Source organism: Homo sapiens, chromosome 1, assembly GCF_000001405.40.
Source record: "Homo sapiens chromosome 1, GRCh38.p14 Primary Assembly".
NCBI classification, from domain to species: domain Eukaryota; kingdom Metazoa; phylum Chordata; class Mammalia; order Primates; family Hominidae; genus Homo; species Homo sapiens.
Genome location: NC_000001.11, coordinates 200,608,450 through 200,627,773, shown reverse-complemented (window position 1 = coordinate 200,627,773; position 19,324 = coordinate 200,608,450). Strand labels below are relative to the sequence as shown.

General features: G+C 40.6%; 1 protein-coding gene across 15 annotated transcripts in view, besides 2 other annotated features; it reads left to right on the top strand.

Annotated features, from left to right (window-relative positions):
• Window positions 6,936-7,085: a silencer, noted in NCBI's record as "silent region_1674". NCBI's record gives its function as "represses an Ori minimal core promoter by ATAC-STARR-seq in GM12878 lymphoblastoid cells {active_cell/tissue: GM12878}" and the evidence as "EXISTENCE:reporter gene assay evidence [ECO:0000049][PMID:35858748]".
• Window positions 7,023-19,324, top strand: part of KIF14 (kinesin family member 14) — a 69,255-nt gene continuing 56,953 nt past the window's right edge. The window contains exons 1-7 of one of the 15 annotated variants that reach the window (XM_047436181.1): window positions 7,023-7,363; window positions 8,100-8,222; window positions 8,936-9,222; window positions 9,307-10,162; window positions 12,165-12,419; window positions 13,369-13,456; window positions 18,846-18,944. In XM_047436181.1, the coding sequence (XP_047292137.1) occupies window positions 9,051-9,222; window positions 9,307-10,162; window positions 12,165-12,419; window positions 13,369-13,456; window positions 18,846-18,944 (1,470 nt within the window). In that variant the 5' untranslated portion in view covers window positions 7,023-7,363; window positions 8,100-8,222; window positions 8,936-9,050. Of the gene's footprint in view, window positions 10,163-12,164; window positions 12,420-13,368; window positions 13,457-18,845; window positions 18,945-19,324 lie in introns of all 15 variants that reach the window. The other 14 variants (XM_047436198.1, XM_047436190.1, XM_047436199.1 and 11 more) reach the window with 14 other exon arrangements.
• Window positions 7,254-7,755: an enhancer, noted in NCBI's record as "H3K27ac hESC enhancer chr1:200589147-200589648 (GRCh37/hg19 assembly coordinates)". NCBI's record gives its function as "activates a minimal SCP1, AML or CMV promoter by ChIP-STARR-seq in naive H9 embryonic stem cells {active_cell/tissue: H9 hESC(naive)}" and the evidence as "EXISTENCE:reporter gene assay evidence [ECO:0000049][PMID:30033119]".

Below are 19,324 nucleotides of genomic sequence, written 5' to 3'. Positions count from 1 at the left end.
TGTAGAGCAAAGTAATAGTTCCTCTCTGTAAATGGTTTCTCACATCTCATTTAGAATCCTGGGTGCAATCCTGGGCTTGTAGCTACCCAGAAACTGAGAATTGTGTTAAAAAGGGAACAAAAGAGAAAAAAGGAAAGGTTGGTCTGGGACTCAGGAACATGCTATATAATATTTTTTAAAGGCATTTTTTTAACCTCTTCTCGAGCTGAGTACAAAAAAAAAATCATTCCTTAAACTGTGGTTCAGCGGTCATGAGTATCAAATAAGGGTCCCCGCAATTATTTTATCTATCTATGTATTAATTTATTTACAGATGGGATCATGCTCTGTTGCCCAGGCTAGAGTGCAGTGGTGTGATCATATGTCACTGCAGCTTCCACTTCCTGGCCTCAAGCGATCCTTCTGCCTCAGCCTCCCAAAGTCTTGGGGATTACAGGCTTGAGCTACTGTGCCTGGCCCACACAATTCTTTTTATGTCTTTGGCCTCACCCTTTTGCTGACTTGGCACTTTTCACGGGCATATACTTTTGAGGTAAGACTTCAAATTATAGGGAGAGAGTGGGGGGTTTTAAGCTGAGAGAAAGGAAGTGGAATAATTTTGAAGTTAGCATTAATTTCAGTACATCAGGTACATATAAAATCAGGTTATTGTAGAACCATCAGTTCAGGATAAGTTCCAACTTCATGAAATCAGAAACGCTTCAAACCACAGCCCTTTGCCAGCAGAGATCAACAAAAGACCAGATCAAAGGCCAGAAAGGCCATGGAGTTTGTGGCCAGAGAGACATCAGGAGATGTGGGGATTCCAGCCCTTTTCATCCAGTTAGAATGCAATTCTCTTATGATATTTAATACATTTTGAATCCACATCCTAAGACCCTGCTATCTCTTTCCTGTATGCAATGAGAGAAAGGGAGAGAGAGAGACCCCTTAGACCTGTGCCATCCAATATTGTGGCTATCAGGCACTTAAAATGTGGCTGGTCTTGTAAATGCTGTGAAGTGTAAAAATTTAACTGAATGCCTGAAAGAATGTAAAATATCTGAATTTTTTTTTTCCCGAGACAGTCTTGCTCTGTTGCCCAGGCTGGAGTGCAATGGTGCTATCTCGGCTCACTGCAACCTCCGCCTCCTGGGTTCAAGCAATCTCGTGCCTCAGCCTCCTGAGTAGCTGGGATTACAGATGCACACCATCACCCCCGGCTAATTTTTGTATTTTTAGTAGAGACAGGTTTCACCATGTTGACCAGGCTGGTCTCGAACTCCTGACCTCGTGATCCACCCGCCTCGGCCTCCCAAAGTGCTAGGACTACAGGCATGAGCCACCGTGCCCGGCCATGAACATTTTTTTAATGTTGATTATGTATTGAAATGATAATATTTCTGATGTATTGGGTTAAATAAATTATTAAAATCAGCCAGGTGCAGTGTCACACTCCTGTAACCCCAGCACTTTAGGAGGCCAAGTCAGGAGGATTGCTTAAGCCCAGGAGTTCGAGACCAGCCTGGACAACATAGGGAGATCCACATCTCTATAAAAAAAAAAAGATTAATTAAATAAAATAAATTGTCCCTTCTCTTTCTACTTTTCTTAAAGTGGGTACTAGAAGGTTTAAAATTCACATGTAGCTCACACTATCTTGCACAGTCCTGCTTTAGACTTCCAGACAGTGGAATAAATTATAGGATAGCAGTTTGCATTGCCCTTGTTAAATTTCTGGGATAAGGGAGAAAACTGATAAAATGAGAGTTTGTTTTCATTTTCTTTTTTCAGGAATATAATATCAAATTGCTCAGGCCCAATTGCTGTCAGTTGGAGTGGATGTTTGGGTTTAATGAATGCTTGTAGTACAGAAACTTATTAATAATATTTAAAGAAATACAGCTGGGAGAAATACAGGACACAGTGAATGGGCTCATTCTTTGGCATAATTTCATGTGAATTAAATGAAACCCATAAAGTCCACATAAACCTACACCATGGCTTGCAGAAACACTGTTTATCACAGAAGACAGAAAAATGCCATCATTTATTCATCTTTGTATGCTAGAGGAAACTGAGAAAATGTTAGTCCAAATAGAACACTCAACTCTCTGTTGTACCCCAGACTGTTGTATCTGAAAAAGAAAAAAAAAAAAAAAAGAGCAGAACTCTTTCTGATGGTAGATGTTTTTTTCCCCTGAGTGAATCAGAGAACAGCCTGTGGTCTAAACCAAAAAAAAAAAAAAAAAAAAAAAAAAAAACCTTATGTAAACGGGTAAAGACATGTGGATGGGTGTGGAATTATTCATGAAGCTACAACACTGAAGAAAAACTCCCCTCTCTCCCCTCTAGAAAGACTGAGATGATGTATAATTCTTGCAATCCAGGTGGCTTCTTACTTGACAGTTGCCCTTTTATACCCACGAACATGAGAAGCAATTACTTGACACAATCTTTTTTATGCTGTTTTTTAAATTAGAAAATTGATTTATGTGAATACACAAACTAAAAATTGATTATAAAAACAACTAAACATGTGTCATTCTAGGCAATTCTAGGCAGCCTAGACACTGCTAGTATTGACATGTACCACCGAAAAGAAATGAGATTATGAACTATTTTGGGGTTAGTACAGACAGCTGAGTGATTTGTACATACTCAACATTCTTATTGAGATCACCTAATACCTCTCTGTAAATTTGTTGAAAAGTAAGTGACTTGAAGCTTTTCATTATCCATTTTAGGAAAATACCTACAAGTCTACTTGGAGGAATCCCCAGCATTTTCAACAGGATGTCAGAATGACCTTGGGCTATGTTGGCAAAGCACAATGGGAAGAAGACAACCAATTGAAGGTCAAACTAGGCCTTAAAAAAAATTGTTCTTCCTAAATGAAACTTTATGTAAGACCCAAGCTTCCTTTATGTAAAAATAGGATACTCACTAGGCTTTGGGGCTGACAATGGTTTTTAAATCTTGCTAATCTTCCCTGGAATGAAACCAGCATGACTCAAAGAGAAAAAGAGAGTCTATAATATTTTCTAATCCCTGAGTTCTTTTCTTTATATATTAAAAAGGATTACTAGGCTGGGTGTGGTGGCTCACGCCTGTAATCCCAGCACTTTGGGAGGCCGAGGGGAGTGGATCACCTGAGTTCGAGACCAGCCTAACCAACATGGAGAAACCCTGTCTCTACTAAAAATACAAAATTAGCCAGGCGTGGTGGCGCATGCCTGTAATCCCAGCTACTCAGGAGGCTGCGGCAGGAGAATTGCTTGAACTCGGGAGGCAGAGCCAAGATCGCACCACTGCACTCCAGCCTGGGCAACAAGAGTGAAACTCTGTCTCAAAATAATATTAATGATAATAATAATAATAATAATAGGGATTACTTGCATAATTGTTCTTTTAAAATTATTGGCAGTATTGCTGAATGTATTTAGATTTTTTCACCAAGTGACAACAACTGAATTCATAAAGATTCATCAACAAGACCTGATAAAAAAAAATGTAAGCATATTATAGTGGATACTTCCAAGACTCTTGGTCTAACATGTATTAGAAAGCAGAAGGAGCCCAGGCACAGGGGCTCCCGCCGGTAATCCCAAAGCTTTGGGAAGCCAAGGCAGGTGGATCGCTTGAGCTCAGGAGTTAGAGACCAGCCTGGGCAACATGGTGAAATCCCGTCACCACAAAAAAATGCAAAAATTAACTGGGCGTGGTGGCATGCACCTGTAGTCCCAGCTACTCTGGAGGCTGAGGTGAGGGGAATCACCTGAGCCGGGGGAATCACCTGAGCCCAGGGAAGTTGAGGCTGCTGTGAGCCATGGTCATGACACTGCCCTCCAGCCTGGACAACAGATTGAGACCCTGTCTCAAAAAAAAAAAAAAAAAAAGAAAAAAGAAAAGAAAGAAAAAGAAAATTAGGGCCGGGCGCGGTGGCTCACGCCTGTAATCCCAACACTTTGGGAGGCCGAGGCGGGTGGATCACGAGGTCAGGAGATCGAGATCATCCTGGCTAACATGGTGAAACCCTGTCTCTACTAAAAATACAAAAAATTAGCCAGGCGTGGTGGCGCATGCCTATAGTCCCAGCTGCTCAGGAGGCTGAGGCAGGAGAATGGCGTGAACCCGGGAGGCAGAGCTTGCTGTGAGCCAAGATGGCGCCACTGCACTCTAGCCTGGGCGACAGAGCAAGACTCCGTCTCAAAATAATAATAATAATAATAATAAAAATAAAAAAAAGAAAATTAGAAGGAAAATACAAAATATGACAGATTTTAAAATACCTTTAGGTTCATGCAGTTTGTTTAACTCTTGTCCTTATTATAAAGCCATAGACATTTGAGATCCAGAAAGAATCTGTAAAAACTGTTGTACAGGGTAGTGGTACAGAGCACAGGAAATGGTGTTTAATTTCCTGAGTTCTGAACCTAACTCTGTGACCCAGTAGTTGTATAATGTCAGGCAAGCTATTTAACTCCTTGGAAACCCACTTTCCCTCATGTGTAAAACAGCGATAATCATAATACCTATCTTATAAGGTTATGGAGTTAGGTTATTTATCTTGCACAAAGAAAGGACTCAATCCTTGCTGGTTATGATGATTTAATCCAGCACTTTCGTTTCACAAGCGAGGGATCTACAGTAAGGAGACTTATCTCTGGTCTCACCATTAGGTTGAGACAGATCCTCAGCTAGAATCCAAAGTGCTCTTACCACTTTTCCACAACTTTTGCTTTGTCCTTTGCATTTTAAAATTATTAATTTCCTATTGCACCTTTTCGTTATAGACCCCAAGTGCAACTAGATACAAACACCAGGAAAATACATACCACATTTTAATAATTTAAAAATTGTGAAATTTGCTAAATTGTAATAGATTTAATCTTAGGCCGGGCGCAGTGGCTCACGCCTGTAATCCCAGCACTTTGGGGGGCTGAGGTAGGTGGATCACCTAAGGTCGAGAGTTCGAGACCAGCTTGACCAACATGGAGAAACCCCTTCTCTACTAAAAATACAAAATTAGCTGGGGTTGTGGTGCACGCCTGTAATCCCATCTACTCGGGAGGCTGAGGCAGGAGAATCGCTTGAACCTGGGAGACGGACGTTGCGGTGAGCCAAGATCAAGCCATTGCACTCCAGCCTGGGCAACTAGAGCGAAACTCCGTCTCAAAAAAAAAAAATTTAATCTTAAGAGATCATTAATTAGCATGAGTTAATCATTTTTCTTTAAATCTTACATAATCCAGAAAGCTTCAAACGTGCCAGTTTTACTTCGACTCTTTCCACGTTTTCTTTCTGTTTGTCTCCCTCTGGTGGATTTAAAAAAATACTTGCTTTATTCTATTTATGAGCTTATTTTCCTTTTAAAATTGAAAAAGGTCTTTATGTCTTCTGTCATGTTTAATATATATTTCCAGTTACATTTTATTTTTATTATTTTGAATTATACATATGTTTAAAATTTTTATGTATTTGAGTTTGTCTGTCTTTTCTTTGACATATCTTGCTTTGTTTCTAAATTGAATGATCATTTTCCCATAGATGTGATAACTTTTTTTTTTTTTTTTCTTGAGACGGAGTTTCTCTCTTGTCCCCCAGGCTGGAGTGCAATGGCGCGATCTCGGCTCACTGCAACCTCCGCCTACCCGGTTCACGTGATTCTCCTGCCTCAGCCTCCTGAGTAACGGGGATTACAGGGGCCCGCCACCACGGCTGCCTAATTTTTGTATTTTTAGGAGAGACGGGGTTTCACCATGTTAGCCAGGCTGGTTTTAAACTCCTGACTGCAAGTGATCCGCCTGCCTTGGTCTCCCAAAGTGCTAAGATTACAGGCGTGAGCCACCGCACCTGGCCCTGATAAATATTATATTCTATTTTCTGATAGTTTCCTTATACCTTAATTTTAATTGAGTTTTAGAATGATTTTTAGAGTAAGATTTAGAATGAGTACTTTATCATCTGTTTGGTTGGTCTATATAATTGGAGCTACTTATGGTCTCTATCTCAGTGAATACTTCTTCAATATCTCTGTACTTTTTGCCTGTTTAAAAAACATTGTTGCTTTACAATATCTATTTATCTAGTCTTTCTCATTTATTTGGTTATTTTTCAGAATGTATTTGTAATATTTTTTCAGATTTCAAAATCTTATGGGGGCTGGGCGGCGCAGTGGCTCACGCCTGGCAGCTTACAAGGTCAGGAATTCGAGACCAGCCTGGCCAATATGGTGAAACCCCGTCTCTACTAAAAATACAAAAATTAGCTGGGCGTGGTGGTGCGCGCCTGTAATCCCAGCTACTCCAGAGGCTGAGGCAGGAGAATCGCTTGAACCAGGGAGGCGGAGGTTGCAGGGGCCACTGCACTCCAGCCTGGGCTGCAGAGCGAGACTCCGTCTCAAAAAAGAAAAAAAAAATTAAAAAAAGGGAACTTTTACTGAAACGGAGTTACATTGTACGGCGGCAAGAACCTTCAAGTTCTAGTTATGCCACTGCTAATTGTCTGATCTTTCACAAGTTTAACTCTAAACCTCAGTTCCTCATCTGTAAACGAGGGATAACATTAATATTTATCTCACAAGATTTTCAGGACTGTTTAAAAATTCATATAAGACATTTAGCATATTTCCTACGTGAACGCCTTGCATAGGAAACACTAGAAAAGTTAATTATTATGATTAACTTGGGGGCAAATATCCATTTACAATGTGAAGTCTTCGATGTAATGGCTTCTTTTAGATTAAAGACCGACAAGAGTGTCACTGTCATGCTTTTCGTTTGACACCCACTTCAACGAGGGGCCCGCTGCGCCCGCGACCGCCGCCCCTTCCTCTGGTCGGATTTAAAGGGGGCCAAGCTCCACGCTTTAGCAGAACCCGAGGAGGGGAGGGAGCGTTGCCTGGGAGATGAGGGTGGGGCGAGTCCAGCATTCAGAGACGGCTACCGGAGCCCAACCACCGGCACTTCCGGGGGGCGGGTGGAAGCAAAGGCGCGGCACCCGACGCGACGCCCAGCAGCCAATCAGAAGGCGGGGCGCCCATTCAAATTGCGGCCTTCTGGGGAGCCGGCGCTGGAGGTGGTGAGTGGCGTGGGGACTGTGTCGAGGGGGTCCCCAAGGTGCCGGACCCTGCGGAGGGGCGAAGTTTCGGCACTGGGGAGGGCGTGCGGACGCTTTCCCTACAGGCGACCACTGCTCTGCGGGCGGGTGGTCTTAGCTCCAGTCCCCCATTCAGTTCCTCAGCATTCCAGGTCGGCGGCGAAGGGGTCCCCGAACGAAGGGCGCAAGGCAGCGTCTCTGCTGGGACCGGGAAGCCGGACTTCAGGGCCTCTCGGCCCGTGGGCTTCTCCCCGAGTCTCCCCGAGTCGGTTGGCATTAAGAGGTAATTCTTAGTCATAGCCCCTGGTAATGACTAGCAGAGAAAGAACAGAATCACCGGATGTTTTGGTTTGGATTGTGCTTATTTTCCTTGTATTCCTTCCAGTCCTCTTTAAAATCTGATGGCGAAACTCCTCAAACAGAAACCGTATTGATTTGTGCAAATCGCAAATGGTTTTTAGTTGCAAGAGAATTTCCAGAATCTTCTTTTTGCCTTTAAATTCATTTCATAACAGGAAAATTCTGTATTTTGAGTTGAAACGTTGATGGGAGATGCTTATAAGCTGACGAATTTTTTTTGTAATGACTGTTATTTATGTAAAAATTTAAAAGCCTCATTTAAAAATGAACTTCCATTAATTTGTTCCTCGCTAGCAATAATCTTTGCAATAGTTTGAACCAGTGTCATTTTACAGGTTAGAACCCGGCATGCAAATTTAAAGTCTTGTTTACATCCTTGTAAGGAGTTGGATACAAAGCTGACTAAAAGCCAGGTCTCTTAGCTGTCACTGCTGTTCCCTTTCTTTAAAACGTTAATACCTGATAGATATTGTTGCTGTATATTTACATACACCTCTGTCTAATTTGTTGTCTTACTGCTAAAGGGCAGGTTGTCTGTTTATCTAATCTTGCATGGTTTTTCTCAACACAATTAATTTACAGTACTTATCGTACTTACTGCCTGTGGTACTTGGGAATAATCTGCCTCGTGACACCAATCAATTCAATCTTCTCTATAGGCATTCCTGTATTCAACATACATGGGCCGGACGCGGTGGCTCACGCCTGTAATCCCAGCACTTTGGGAGGCCGAGGCGGGCGGATCACAAGGTCAAGATATCGAGACCATCCTGGCCAACATGGTGAAACCCCGTCTCTACTAAAAATACAAAAATTAGCTGGGCATGGTGGTGGGCGCCTGTAGTCCCAGCTACTTGGGAGGCTAAGGCAGGAGATTTGCTTGAATACAGGAGGAGGAGGTTGCAGCAAGCCAAGGTCGTGCCACTGCACTCCAGCCTGGTGACAGAGCAAGACTCCATCTCAAAAAAAATATTTTTATAAAAATAAAATAAAATAAACCTTCTTATGGAACATTGGCAAAAAAAAAAAATACGTGTAGCAGGTATTTATAAAAATACTTTGCTCCACACTCTGATTTAGGTGCTAGGGTTTCCTTTAGTCCTTCCCATTCCCCACACTGGAAGTACTTGAAAATCTATGTTGGCATGCACTTTTTACATCTTCTAAGTCACTTGACACATTTGGCCTGATATATGGCTTATCAGTATATTTCTTCTAGACTAAAGAAATGGGAATTGTATTCTTGTCTTTGAAGTCTACAGTATCTATCAGAGGGCCTGGCACTAATGGAAACTTAGTCAATATTTGTTGAATAATGATGGTAAGTTCTCTGAGAGACTTGCCTGAAGTTGCTTGGAAGCAGTATCTGAGCTGCAGATTGTGATCTATTGTAATGTATGCCTCTGGGAATTTACTTACACAATGGGATGTTCTCTCTATATTTTTAAAGCTTGTTTGTAGTCTGTGTGATCTAAATCTTTTTTTTTTCTTTTAGTTTAGCAGATACTTTCAGAAATGGATACATAAGAAATGGCTGGAAATCAAATGAATGTCCAAAGAAGAGCTTAGGGTCTTAGTAACATTCTTTTTTAAAATAACTGTCTGCCAAAATGTCATTACACAGTACTCATAATAGAAATAACAGCGGTGATATTCTTGATATTCCTTCTTCCCAAAATAGTTCATCACTGAATGCCCTCACCCACAGTAGCCGACTTAAGCTGCATTTGAAGTCGGATATGTCAGAATGTGAAAATGATGATCCATTATTGAGATCTGCAGGTAAAGTCAGAGACATAAATAGAACTTATGTTATTTCTGCCAGTAGAAAAACAGCAGACATGCCCCTTACCCCTAATCCTGTAGGTAGATTGGCACTTCAGAGGAGAACTACAAGGAACAAAGAATCATCTTTGCTTGTTAGTGAGTTGGAAGACACAACTGAAAAAACAGCAGAAACACGTCTTACATTACAACGTCGTGCTAAAACAGATTCTGCAGAAAAGTGGAAAACAGCTGAAATAGATTCTGTCAAAATGACACTGAATGTGGGAGGTGAAACAGAAAATAATGGTGTTTCTAAGGAAAGTAGAACAAATGTAAGGATTGTAAATAATGCTAAAAACTCTTTTGTTGCCTCTTCTGTACCTTTAGATGAAGATCCACAGGTCATTGAAATGATGGCTGATAAGAAATACAAAGAAACATTTTCTGCCCCCAGTAGAGCAAATGAAAATGTTGCACTTAAGTACTCAAGTAATAGACCACCCATTGCTTCCCTGAGTCAGACTGAAGTTGTTAGATCAGGACACTTGACAACGAAACCTACTCAGAGCAAGTTGGATATCAAAGTGTTGGGAACAGGAAACTTGTATCATAGAAGTATTGGGAAGGAAATTGCAAAAACTTCAAATAAATTTGGGAGCTTAGAAAAAAGAACACCTACAAAATGTACAACAGAACACAAACTGACAACAAAGTGCAGCCTGCCTCAGCTTAAGAGCCCAGCTCCATCAATACTGAAGAATAGAATGTCTAACCTTCAAGTTAAACAAAGACCAAAAAGTTCCTTTCTTGCAAATAAACAGGAAAGATCCGCAGAAAATACAATTCTTCCCGAAGAAGAAACTGTAGTTCAGAACACCTCTGCAGGAAAAGACCCCTTAAAAGTAGAGAATAGTCAAGTGACAGTGGCAGTACGCGTAAGACCTTTCACCAAGAGGTATGTGATGCCTTTTAAAATCTAAAGCCAAGCAGTTACATGTAAGGTACCTTTAATTCCTCTCTGCCTTTGGAAGGTCAGTGTATTCGTGCATCTTCAAACTTGTTGGCAATACTTTTATATAGAAAGAACTTTTAGGTCTAGTTGTAGTGTGTGTTGATAATTTTTGATCACTGACTATAAAATTAAAAAATTGAATCACCATATTTTGTATATTGAAGTTTCTCTAGATATATTGCTTTTAAAAAGTCTGAATAAGTCACTTAGGTCTCTAATGAAATCTGCTTTCAGATCTGCAATATATGCTGGAATGTTATACCTATCCCTTAAAAAGAGCCATAACAGGCCAGGTGTGGTGGGTCACGCCTGTAATCCCATTGCTTTGGGAGGTCAAGGCAGGCAGATCACTTGAGGCCAGGGGTTTGAGACCAGCCTGGCCAATATGGTGATACCCTGTCTCTACTAAAAATACAAAAATTAGCTGGGCATGGTGTTGCACACCTGTAATCCCAGCTACTCGGGAGGCTGAGGCAGGAGAATCACTTGAACCCGGGAGGCAGAGGCTGCATTGAGCTGACATCAGGCCACTGCACTCCAGCCTGGGCGACAGAACGAGACTGTCTCAAAAAAAAGAAGAGCCATAACAAATTACTGGTTCCCTAAAGAGGTCCTTTCAAAACCCTTTCCAGAGTGGTGATTATCATCATCATTGTCTCCGATTACTATATAGTAGTTATAAATGCAGTGATACATTAGATTTGATTTTGATGGCAAAAAATCTCTCTCTAAAAGTGGTTGTGGGTGGGGAAGACACAGATTAAAGATAAGGTTGGAAAAGATGGACATGACAAAATGTGAATGTGACAAAATGTAATTGTTTTAAAATATTTTAATGTAGTTGTTTAAAATATTTTAAGGGACAGTGAAAAACTTCACAGAGTTAGTAGTGTTTAACTTGAAGCTGTGTATCTAAGCAAGTTAGAAGAGGATTTGGTGACCACTGCATCAGGGCAGGAACCTCCAGTTTGAACCTAAGGGGTCAGTAGTTAAAGGCAAGTTATACAGTACTGTAGAATCTTTTTCGTGCAAATGGGTTAGTATTAAGAGGGAGAACTGAGGGTGAGTTGGTTTGAGAGAATTGGAATGTCTAATAGAGCCTCAAGAACCATGATAGGAAGAGAAACAATAGAAAGAGCTGGTAGGGACAAAATGCAAGATGGATGACTATACTGAACTTAGTAAGGGACCAAGTGCCTGATTCCAAACTCATCAGACAAGCCTTGAAAGCAGGGCCAGGGTAGAGTACTTGTCAAATTGATGAGGCAGGTGTTTTTTCCAGAATAAATTCTGATTTAAAGCAGTCTCAGAGTCAGGGATGGAGCGGGGAGGGAGTGTATATCTGGAGCCAGACAAAGAGTGATGATGTTTTTCTGTAGATCTAAAGTAAATGAAAGATTTCCACCTAAGTCTCAAAGGGAAAAAGGATATACAGAAAGATTCATGATTTTAAGGGAGAGAATCTAGAGGAAGGAGGAGAGATCTTTAGTAGCCAAGAGAGACTTATGATTGAAACTTACAGTCAACTGAGTTTGTTAAAATTAGATATTTGTATTTTATGCCAGCTTTATTTAGATTGGTACCCCCCCAAATTTGTATAATAAAGATGTAGATTTGGATGAAGAGTATAGGTAGATTATAGTAGGTGGGATGGGAAAAGGTATAGTTCAAGAGAAAAAAAAAAGAGGAAAAAATCTTGTAAAAGTAGGATAGGTTTTCTGGAGGAATCTGGGATTTTCCCTTTGGTGGCACTGGAGCCTCAGGAAATATATTTTGGAAACCCACTAGAATTATGTTTGCTTATCTGCATTTTCCACATAAAACTACAGAATTATCTTGCCTTGGAAGATTGTTTAAATAGTTTTGAGGTATTTATTATGTTCTGTGAGAATAATACCCTTGATCATTTTAGTTACTTGATTTTTTTCTTTGTGCTTCTTTCAAGAGAGAAGATTGAAAAAGCATCCCAGGTAGTCTTCATGAGTGGGAAAGAAATAACTGTGGAACACCCTGACACGAAACAAGTTTATAATTTTATTTATGATGTTTCATTCTGGTCTTTTGATGAATGTCATCCTCACTACGCTAGCCAGACAACTGTCTATGAGAAGCTAGCAGCACCACTCCTAGAAAGAGCCTTCGAAGGCTTCAATACCTGTCTTTTTGCTTATGGTCAGACTGGCTCTGGAAAATCATATACGTAAGTTGTATTGGAAATGCAATTATCCAGAAGTGTTTAAATATACTTTTGTGAGAAGTGGCATAGGGGTGATAGAAAGAATATAGTTTTGAAATCACACAGATCTTGGCCCAAATCTCATCCATTTTATATACCAGTTCTGCAAACTTGGGCAATTTACTTAGCCTCTGGGCTTCAGTTTATACATTTACCTTGATACAATTCATCTTGTAATTATCATTGGCCCCATTTTACTGTACTTTATATATTTTACATAAACTAAGGCCTAGAGAGGTTATCTTTTAAGTATTTTGGTGAGAATTAAAAGTAAGGCATCTAAGCTAGATGTGATGGCACACACCTGTAGTCTCAGCTACTTGGGAAGCTGAGGTAGGAGGATTGCTTAAGTGCAGGAGTTCGAGTCCAGCCTGGGCAACTTAGTCCCCATCTCTTAAGAAAAAAGGGTGGAGGGGCATCTGATAAATGGTAGCTATGATAATAATACCTGTCCTAGAAAGAAATACTCAGCATTTTAACAGTAGCTAACATTTGAGTTCTTTTTTTTTTTTTTTTTTTTTTTTTTTTGTAGCAAGGTTTGTTGTGAAGAGCGAAAGAACAGAGCTTCCACAGTCCACAGCGTGGAGGGGTCCCAAGCGGGTTGCCCAACATTTGAGTTCTTACTATATTCCAGACACTGTGCTAAAGACTTTGCTTATATTCTTTCACAACAATTCTCTGAATTAGATAGTTGTATTATTCCTGTTTTACAGTAGAGGAAATTGAAGTTTAGTGAGGTTAAATATCTTGGAGTCAAGATTTGGACTCAGGCAGATTTGACTCCAGAGTCCAGATTCTTAATTATGAGATTCAGTGAACTTGCTTCCTACTCCCTTCCCAGCCTATTTCCCCAAAAAGAATTTTAAAGAAAGAATTAGTTTTATTTCCCCCTTATTCATAATGTATTTTTCAGGATGATGGGATTTAGTGAAGAACCAGGAATAATTCCAAGATTTTGTGAAGATCTTTTTTCTCAAGTAGCCAGAAAACAAACCCAAGAGGTATGTTCTTATAATACCTGCAAGCTTCTTTTCAGAGTAGAAAATAGTCAAATCAAGTTCAAATCAGTCATGGCCACTAAGGAAATACTTAATGGAAGATCAGTTCTAATTTGTAGATCACTCTTCTTTGGAACAGTGGTATGGAGAGGGAGGGTGGAAATTCTAAATTCAGAATCAGTTTCACCTAGTGGGCAGTGATAGTGAAGTCATCTCTTCTGTCTTTTCTCCCTTGTTTTTGCTTTACTTTTGTGTATACGTAGAGGCTCACAAACATGGTAGCTATGTGCTGTTATACGTGTGTTTGTAGTCAGATAGGTGTACAGTTTAACTAAGGACAGCAGGCATAACCTTTTGGACAACGTGAATCAGAAAGAGTAGTGAAATTGGGATTTGAACCCAGAGTTGACTTCAAAAGCCATGCTTTTTCCACTCTACTACACCTGAATAGGCTGTACTGGCTTCCTATTTCACTTATTCATTTACACATTCAGCTACCTTTTACTGAGCATTCTGCTGTTGCCAGGCAGCTTGTTAGATCAGTTTTTTTTTTTCTCAAATTTTCTTGGTCATAAGAATCACCGGGGATTCTTGGCAGGGACATATATGTGCATGTGTATGTGTATGTACACACTTGCTAAAAATCTCTTCTGGGGGTTCTGAGTCAGTTGGTCTGGTGTAGAGCTTGGGATTTTATAATTTTCATGCTTTTCCTCCAGTATTTTTTATGATAAAGGAAATTGGGAAAATTGTGCTAGATTAGGGGTGTGGAGTTAAAAGACCCAGTCCCTGTATTCAAAGGAGTGTAGTGGGAGAAATAAGTTAACAGCCAAGTACAATCAATTAAATGCTAAACAAACTAAAGTAGATGCTCTAATAGAACATGTAAGTGAGGACATATAAAGTTGGAGGGAGACATTCTCTCAGAGGAAGGAGCAGCTGAGCTTATTTTTGAAGGATACATAGCATTATTAGCTTGGTAAAGAAGGGGAGAAGGATATTCCAGGGAGAGGGAGCAGCATGTACCAAGATTTGAAAGCAAAAAAGTAGGGAGCCTTTGGGAATCTATAAATTGTTCACTGTGTTTTGAGCATGGAATTTGAGGGTGGAAAGTGATAAGAGAAGAAACTAGAGGCTGGGTGCGGTGGCTCATGCCTGTAATCCCAGTACTTTGGGAGGCCGAAGCGGGCAGATCACCTGAGGTCAGGAGTTCGAGACCAGCCTGGCCAACATGGTGAAATCCTGTCTCTACTAAAAATACAAAAATTAGCCAGGTGTGGTGGCACATGCCTGTAATCCCATCTACTTGGGAGGCTGAGGCAGGAGAATCGCTTGAACCAGGGAGATGGAGGTTGCAGTGAGCCGAGATCGCGCCACTGCACTCCAGCCTGGGTGACAGAGCATGACTCCATCTCAAAAAAAAAAAAAAAAAAAAAAAAGAGAATAAACTAGAAAGGCCTGCAGAACTTGGCTCATGAAGGACTGTCTTAGTAAGGATAACTGGTAAGACTTGCTGATTATTGGAAATGGAGGATGAGGGAGAGAGAAATCAATGTTTCTGGTTGGACAACCAGATTAGATATCGATGTCATTTTTTGAGATCACAAGAGGAAAAGTAGATTTGAGTAATTGATGAGTTCTGTCTCTTCTGTGGATATACTGCCTCTCCTCTGTCTTCTTCTACCCTCAACCTCTCATTCCCAGTAATTAAATTGAAAATAGGAGGAGTATGGGGATCAATAGAAATATGGTGGTATTGAGACTATGAGATGAAATATGATTCAAGTCCAAGTTTAGTGGGCATAAGAGAAAGCTGTGGGCTTGTGGGGCAGAGTTCTCTATTGGCTCTCCAGATTTTAGAGGGATAGTAATTTGAAGGTAAAGCCAGGAAGACATAGATAAGTGTAGTGGAGGCAAAGGTCTTTGGAATGATTTCAAAGGACTAGGAGGCTCAGATTTTGCGTGGAATGACTATGTCATTGAATAACATAGTGTAATGAATGCTTAAGAGCCTGGTTGGCCAGGCATGGTGGCTCACGCCTGTAATCCCAGCACTTTGGGAGGCCAAGGCAGGCGGATCACCTGAGGTCAGGAGTTTGAGACCAGCCTGGCCAACATGGTGAATCCCTGTCTCTACTAAGAATACAAAAATTAGCCAGGTGTGGTGGTGGGCGCCTGTAATCCTAGCTATTCGGGAGGCTGAGGTAGGAGAATCGCTTGAACCCTGGAGGCGGACATTGCACTGAGCTGAGATCATGCCACTGTACTCCAGCCTGGGCGACAGAGCAAGACTCTGTCTCAAAAAAAAGAAAAAAAAAAAGAGCATGGACTTTGGAGATACATTATTTGAATTTGAATCTCAGCTTCATCACTGCAGTAGAAATGTGATCTTGAACAATTTACTTAATGTCTTTCTGTGTTTCAGAACAGAAAATAGAGATTATATTGACAATGTCTTTCTCATAGGTTTGTTGTGAGCATTAAATGAGTTGATCTATACAAAAGGTTTTGAAGAGTGCCTGGCACATAGTGAGCCCAACTAAATGTGGTTATATCAACTTTGGAATTAGCCAGGATGGTAGAGAATAATAGTATGTGGATGGGGGTAATAGAAGGTGGTATAGCGAGCATGATGGCAGGAGCCTCAGAGGAGAAGAAAAAAGTAGGACCTCTCCAGTGTGGCCCCAGCTACCTTTTCCAATTTGTTTCCCACACTACATTTTCATTTCTAAGTCCTCCTGGAGCCTCTATAACATAAAATACTATTTTACATAAAATAAGCATTATTACGTGTTTATTGAATTCTGACAGCCCCCATCCCTGTTCATAGCATTTGTCAATGACCTTATAATTACTTGGTGTTCCCTTATACCTGGTCTCTTTGGAAGTGTTTTGTTTCTCTCTCATGACACCAGCTATATTCTGCCTTGTATTACTCATGTACTGTATTGCATCTCCAATTAGCTTCTGAGTTTTTTCAGGATAAAAACTATGTCCAGTTCATCTCATATTTTCCCACAGCTCCTAGAAGAGTGCTTTGTACCTAGTAGGGCACAATAAATATTTGGTGAATTGAACTTAAATCTCTTTGACACTCCCTTGAAGCTTCCAATTCTGTTAGATGCTTGCTGACTCACTTCTGGGTCAGTGGATGAAATTTATTTCTCTAATAAGGAAACCATGCCCTAACTGTCAGAAGAGCTGTTTGGAAGCAAAGTTTCCCGTTTTTGGCCTCTACACTGTATCTTTCAGAGTCAAAAGGAGGAGAAGCTCAGCCCACTTAATCTAATGATTGCTTTCTCTCCCAATCAGGAAGAATTGTTGATTTAAGGTTCCATCTTACCAGATCAAATGTCAACCTACAGGGTGTCTTTCCTATTCTGAGCACATGTGATGCACAGATGCTGCTGTCCTTGCCCGAGAATGCCCTACCCCCTCTTTCTGGTTCAATCTACTCTGTCTCTCATGCCTCACATTCTATTTACTCCTTCCCTTTTCTCTGGCCATCCTAAATTTTCCCTTTTCTGATTAGTCATATTTATAGTCATCTCATTTTGATTCTTAATTAATTTTCTATTGCTGTGTTTTATCTATTGGAAGGTATGTTATATGTCTCTGAGATCTTAGCCTCATGAGCAAGAATCTTGTCTTATACTTCTTTATGTCCTGACAATAACCTAAAGCCAAACATGCAGTAGGTAGGTACTTAAGAAATGCTTATTGGATTGAATTGAACCTTATGCAGAAGTTAAGAAGAAATGCAAGGACTTTTGTTGTTATTCATATTAAATTTTTTTTTTTTTTTTTTTTTGAGAGGAAGTCTCGCTCTGTCACCCAGGCTGGAGTGCAGTGGCGCGATCTTGGCTCACTGCAAGCTCTGCCTCCCGGGTTCATGCCATTCTTCTGCCTCAGCCTCCTGAGTAGCTGGGACTACAGATACCCGCCACCACGCCCGGCTAATTTTTTGTATTTTGTATTTTGTATTTTTGTATTTTAGTTTCACCGTGTTAGCCAGGATGGTCTCGATCCCCTGACCTCGTAATCCACCTGCCTTGGCCTCCCAGAGTGCTAGGATTACAGGCGTGAGCCACCGCGCCCAGCCAAAATTTTTTTTATTGAGATCAAATTCACATAACATCAAATTAACCACTTTAAAGTATATAATTCAGTGGCATTCAGTACATTTATAATGTACAACTGTTACTTCTAGTGCCAAAAAATTTTCATTGCCATCAAAGGGGACCCTCTACCCATTAAGCAGTCACAATCCATTCCCCCTTCTTCCCAATCCCTGGCAACTACTAGTTTGCTTTTGTTCTATGAATTTACCTGTTCTGGAAATTTCATATAAATGGAATCATGCAATATGTGGTATTTTGTGTCTGGCTTCTTTCACTTAGCATAATGTGTTGAGGTTCATCTACATTGTAGCACATACAGTACTTCATTCCTTTTAATGGTTGACTAATATTTCATTGTACAGATATTGCCAGTTTTGTTTATCCATTCATCAGTTGATGGACATTTGGGTTGTTGTTTATACCTTTTGGCTATTGTGAATAGTCCTTCTGTGAACACTGGTGCATGTTTTTGTTTGAATACCTGTTCTCAATTGTTTTGGATGTATAGGAGTGGAATTTCCAAATTTCTATGGTGATTCTTTTTCTTTTTTGAGATGGAGTCTCACTCTGTCGCCTAGGCTGGAGTGCAGTAGCACAATCTCAGCTCACTGCAACCTCCACCTCCCAGGTTCAAGCGATTCTCCTGCCTCAGCCTCCCGAGTACCTGGGATTACAGGCGCCCGGCACCATGCCCAGCTAATTTTTGTATTTTTAGTAGAGGTGTGGTTTCACCATGTTGGCCAGGCTGTTCTTGAACTCCTGACCTCAAATGATCCTCCCACCTCGGCCTCCCAAAGTGCTGGGATTACAGGTGTGAGCCACTGTGCCCGGCCCGGTAATTCTATTTTTAACCTTTCAAGGAACTGTCAACTATTTTCCACATTGGCCGCACCATTTTACATCCACTAGCAATGGAGGAGGGTTCCAGTTTCTCCACATCCTCACCCACACTGGTTGGTTTTCACTTCTTATTATTACTGCCATCCTAGTGGGTGTGAAGTTGTTTTTCATTGTGATTTTGATTTGCATTTCCCTACTGAGAAATGATGTTGAGCATCTTTTCATGTGCTTGTTTGCCATTTGTACGTTCTTCTTTGGAGAAATGTCTATTCAAGTCCTTTGTGCATTTTAAAATTGGGCTGTTTGTCTTTATGTTGTTGAGTTGTAGGATATTTTTATATATTTATATATTTTGGATACTAGTTCCTAACCACAGATATGATTTGCAAAACATCAAAATAAATTATATGCTGTGTTTCTATTCCTACTAGGTCAGCTATCACATTGAAATGAGCTTCTTTGAAGTATATAATGAAAAAATTCACGACCTTCTGGTTTGTAAAGATGAAAATGGGCAGAGAAAGCAACCAGTAAGATTAAAACAATTTATTATTTGTTTTGAATTTCTGTTCTTATAAATGTATCTAATTATTTGAGTTCTCTGGATGGTATAGCTTAAAGTTTTACTAGAATTATATGAAAGCAAATGCTTGGATCTACAGTCCAATTAGATTATTTAGAAAATAAGCAGAGCACTGGCCGGGCATGGTGGCTCACTCCTGTAATCCCAGCACTTTGGGAGGCTGAGGGGGGCAGACTGCCAGAGCTCAGGAGTTCAAGACCAGCCTGGACAACACAGTGAAACCCTGTCTCTACTAAAATACAAAAAATTAGCCGGGTGTGGCGGATTGCACCTATAGTCCCAGCTTCTCCAGAGGCTGAGGCAGGAGAATTGCTTGAACCTGGGAGG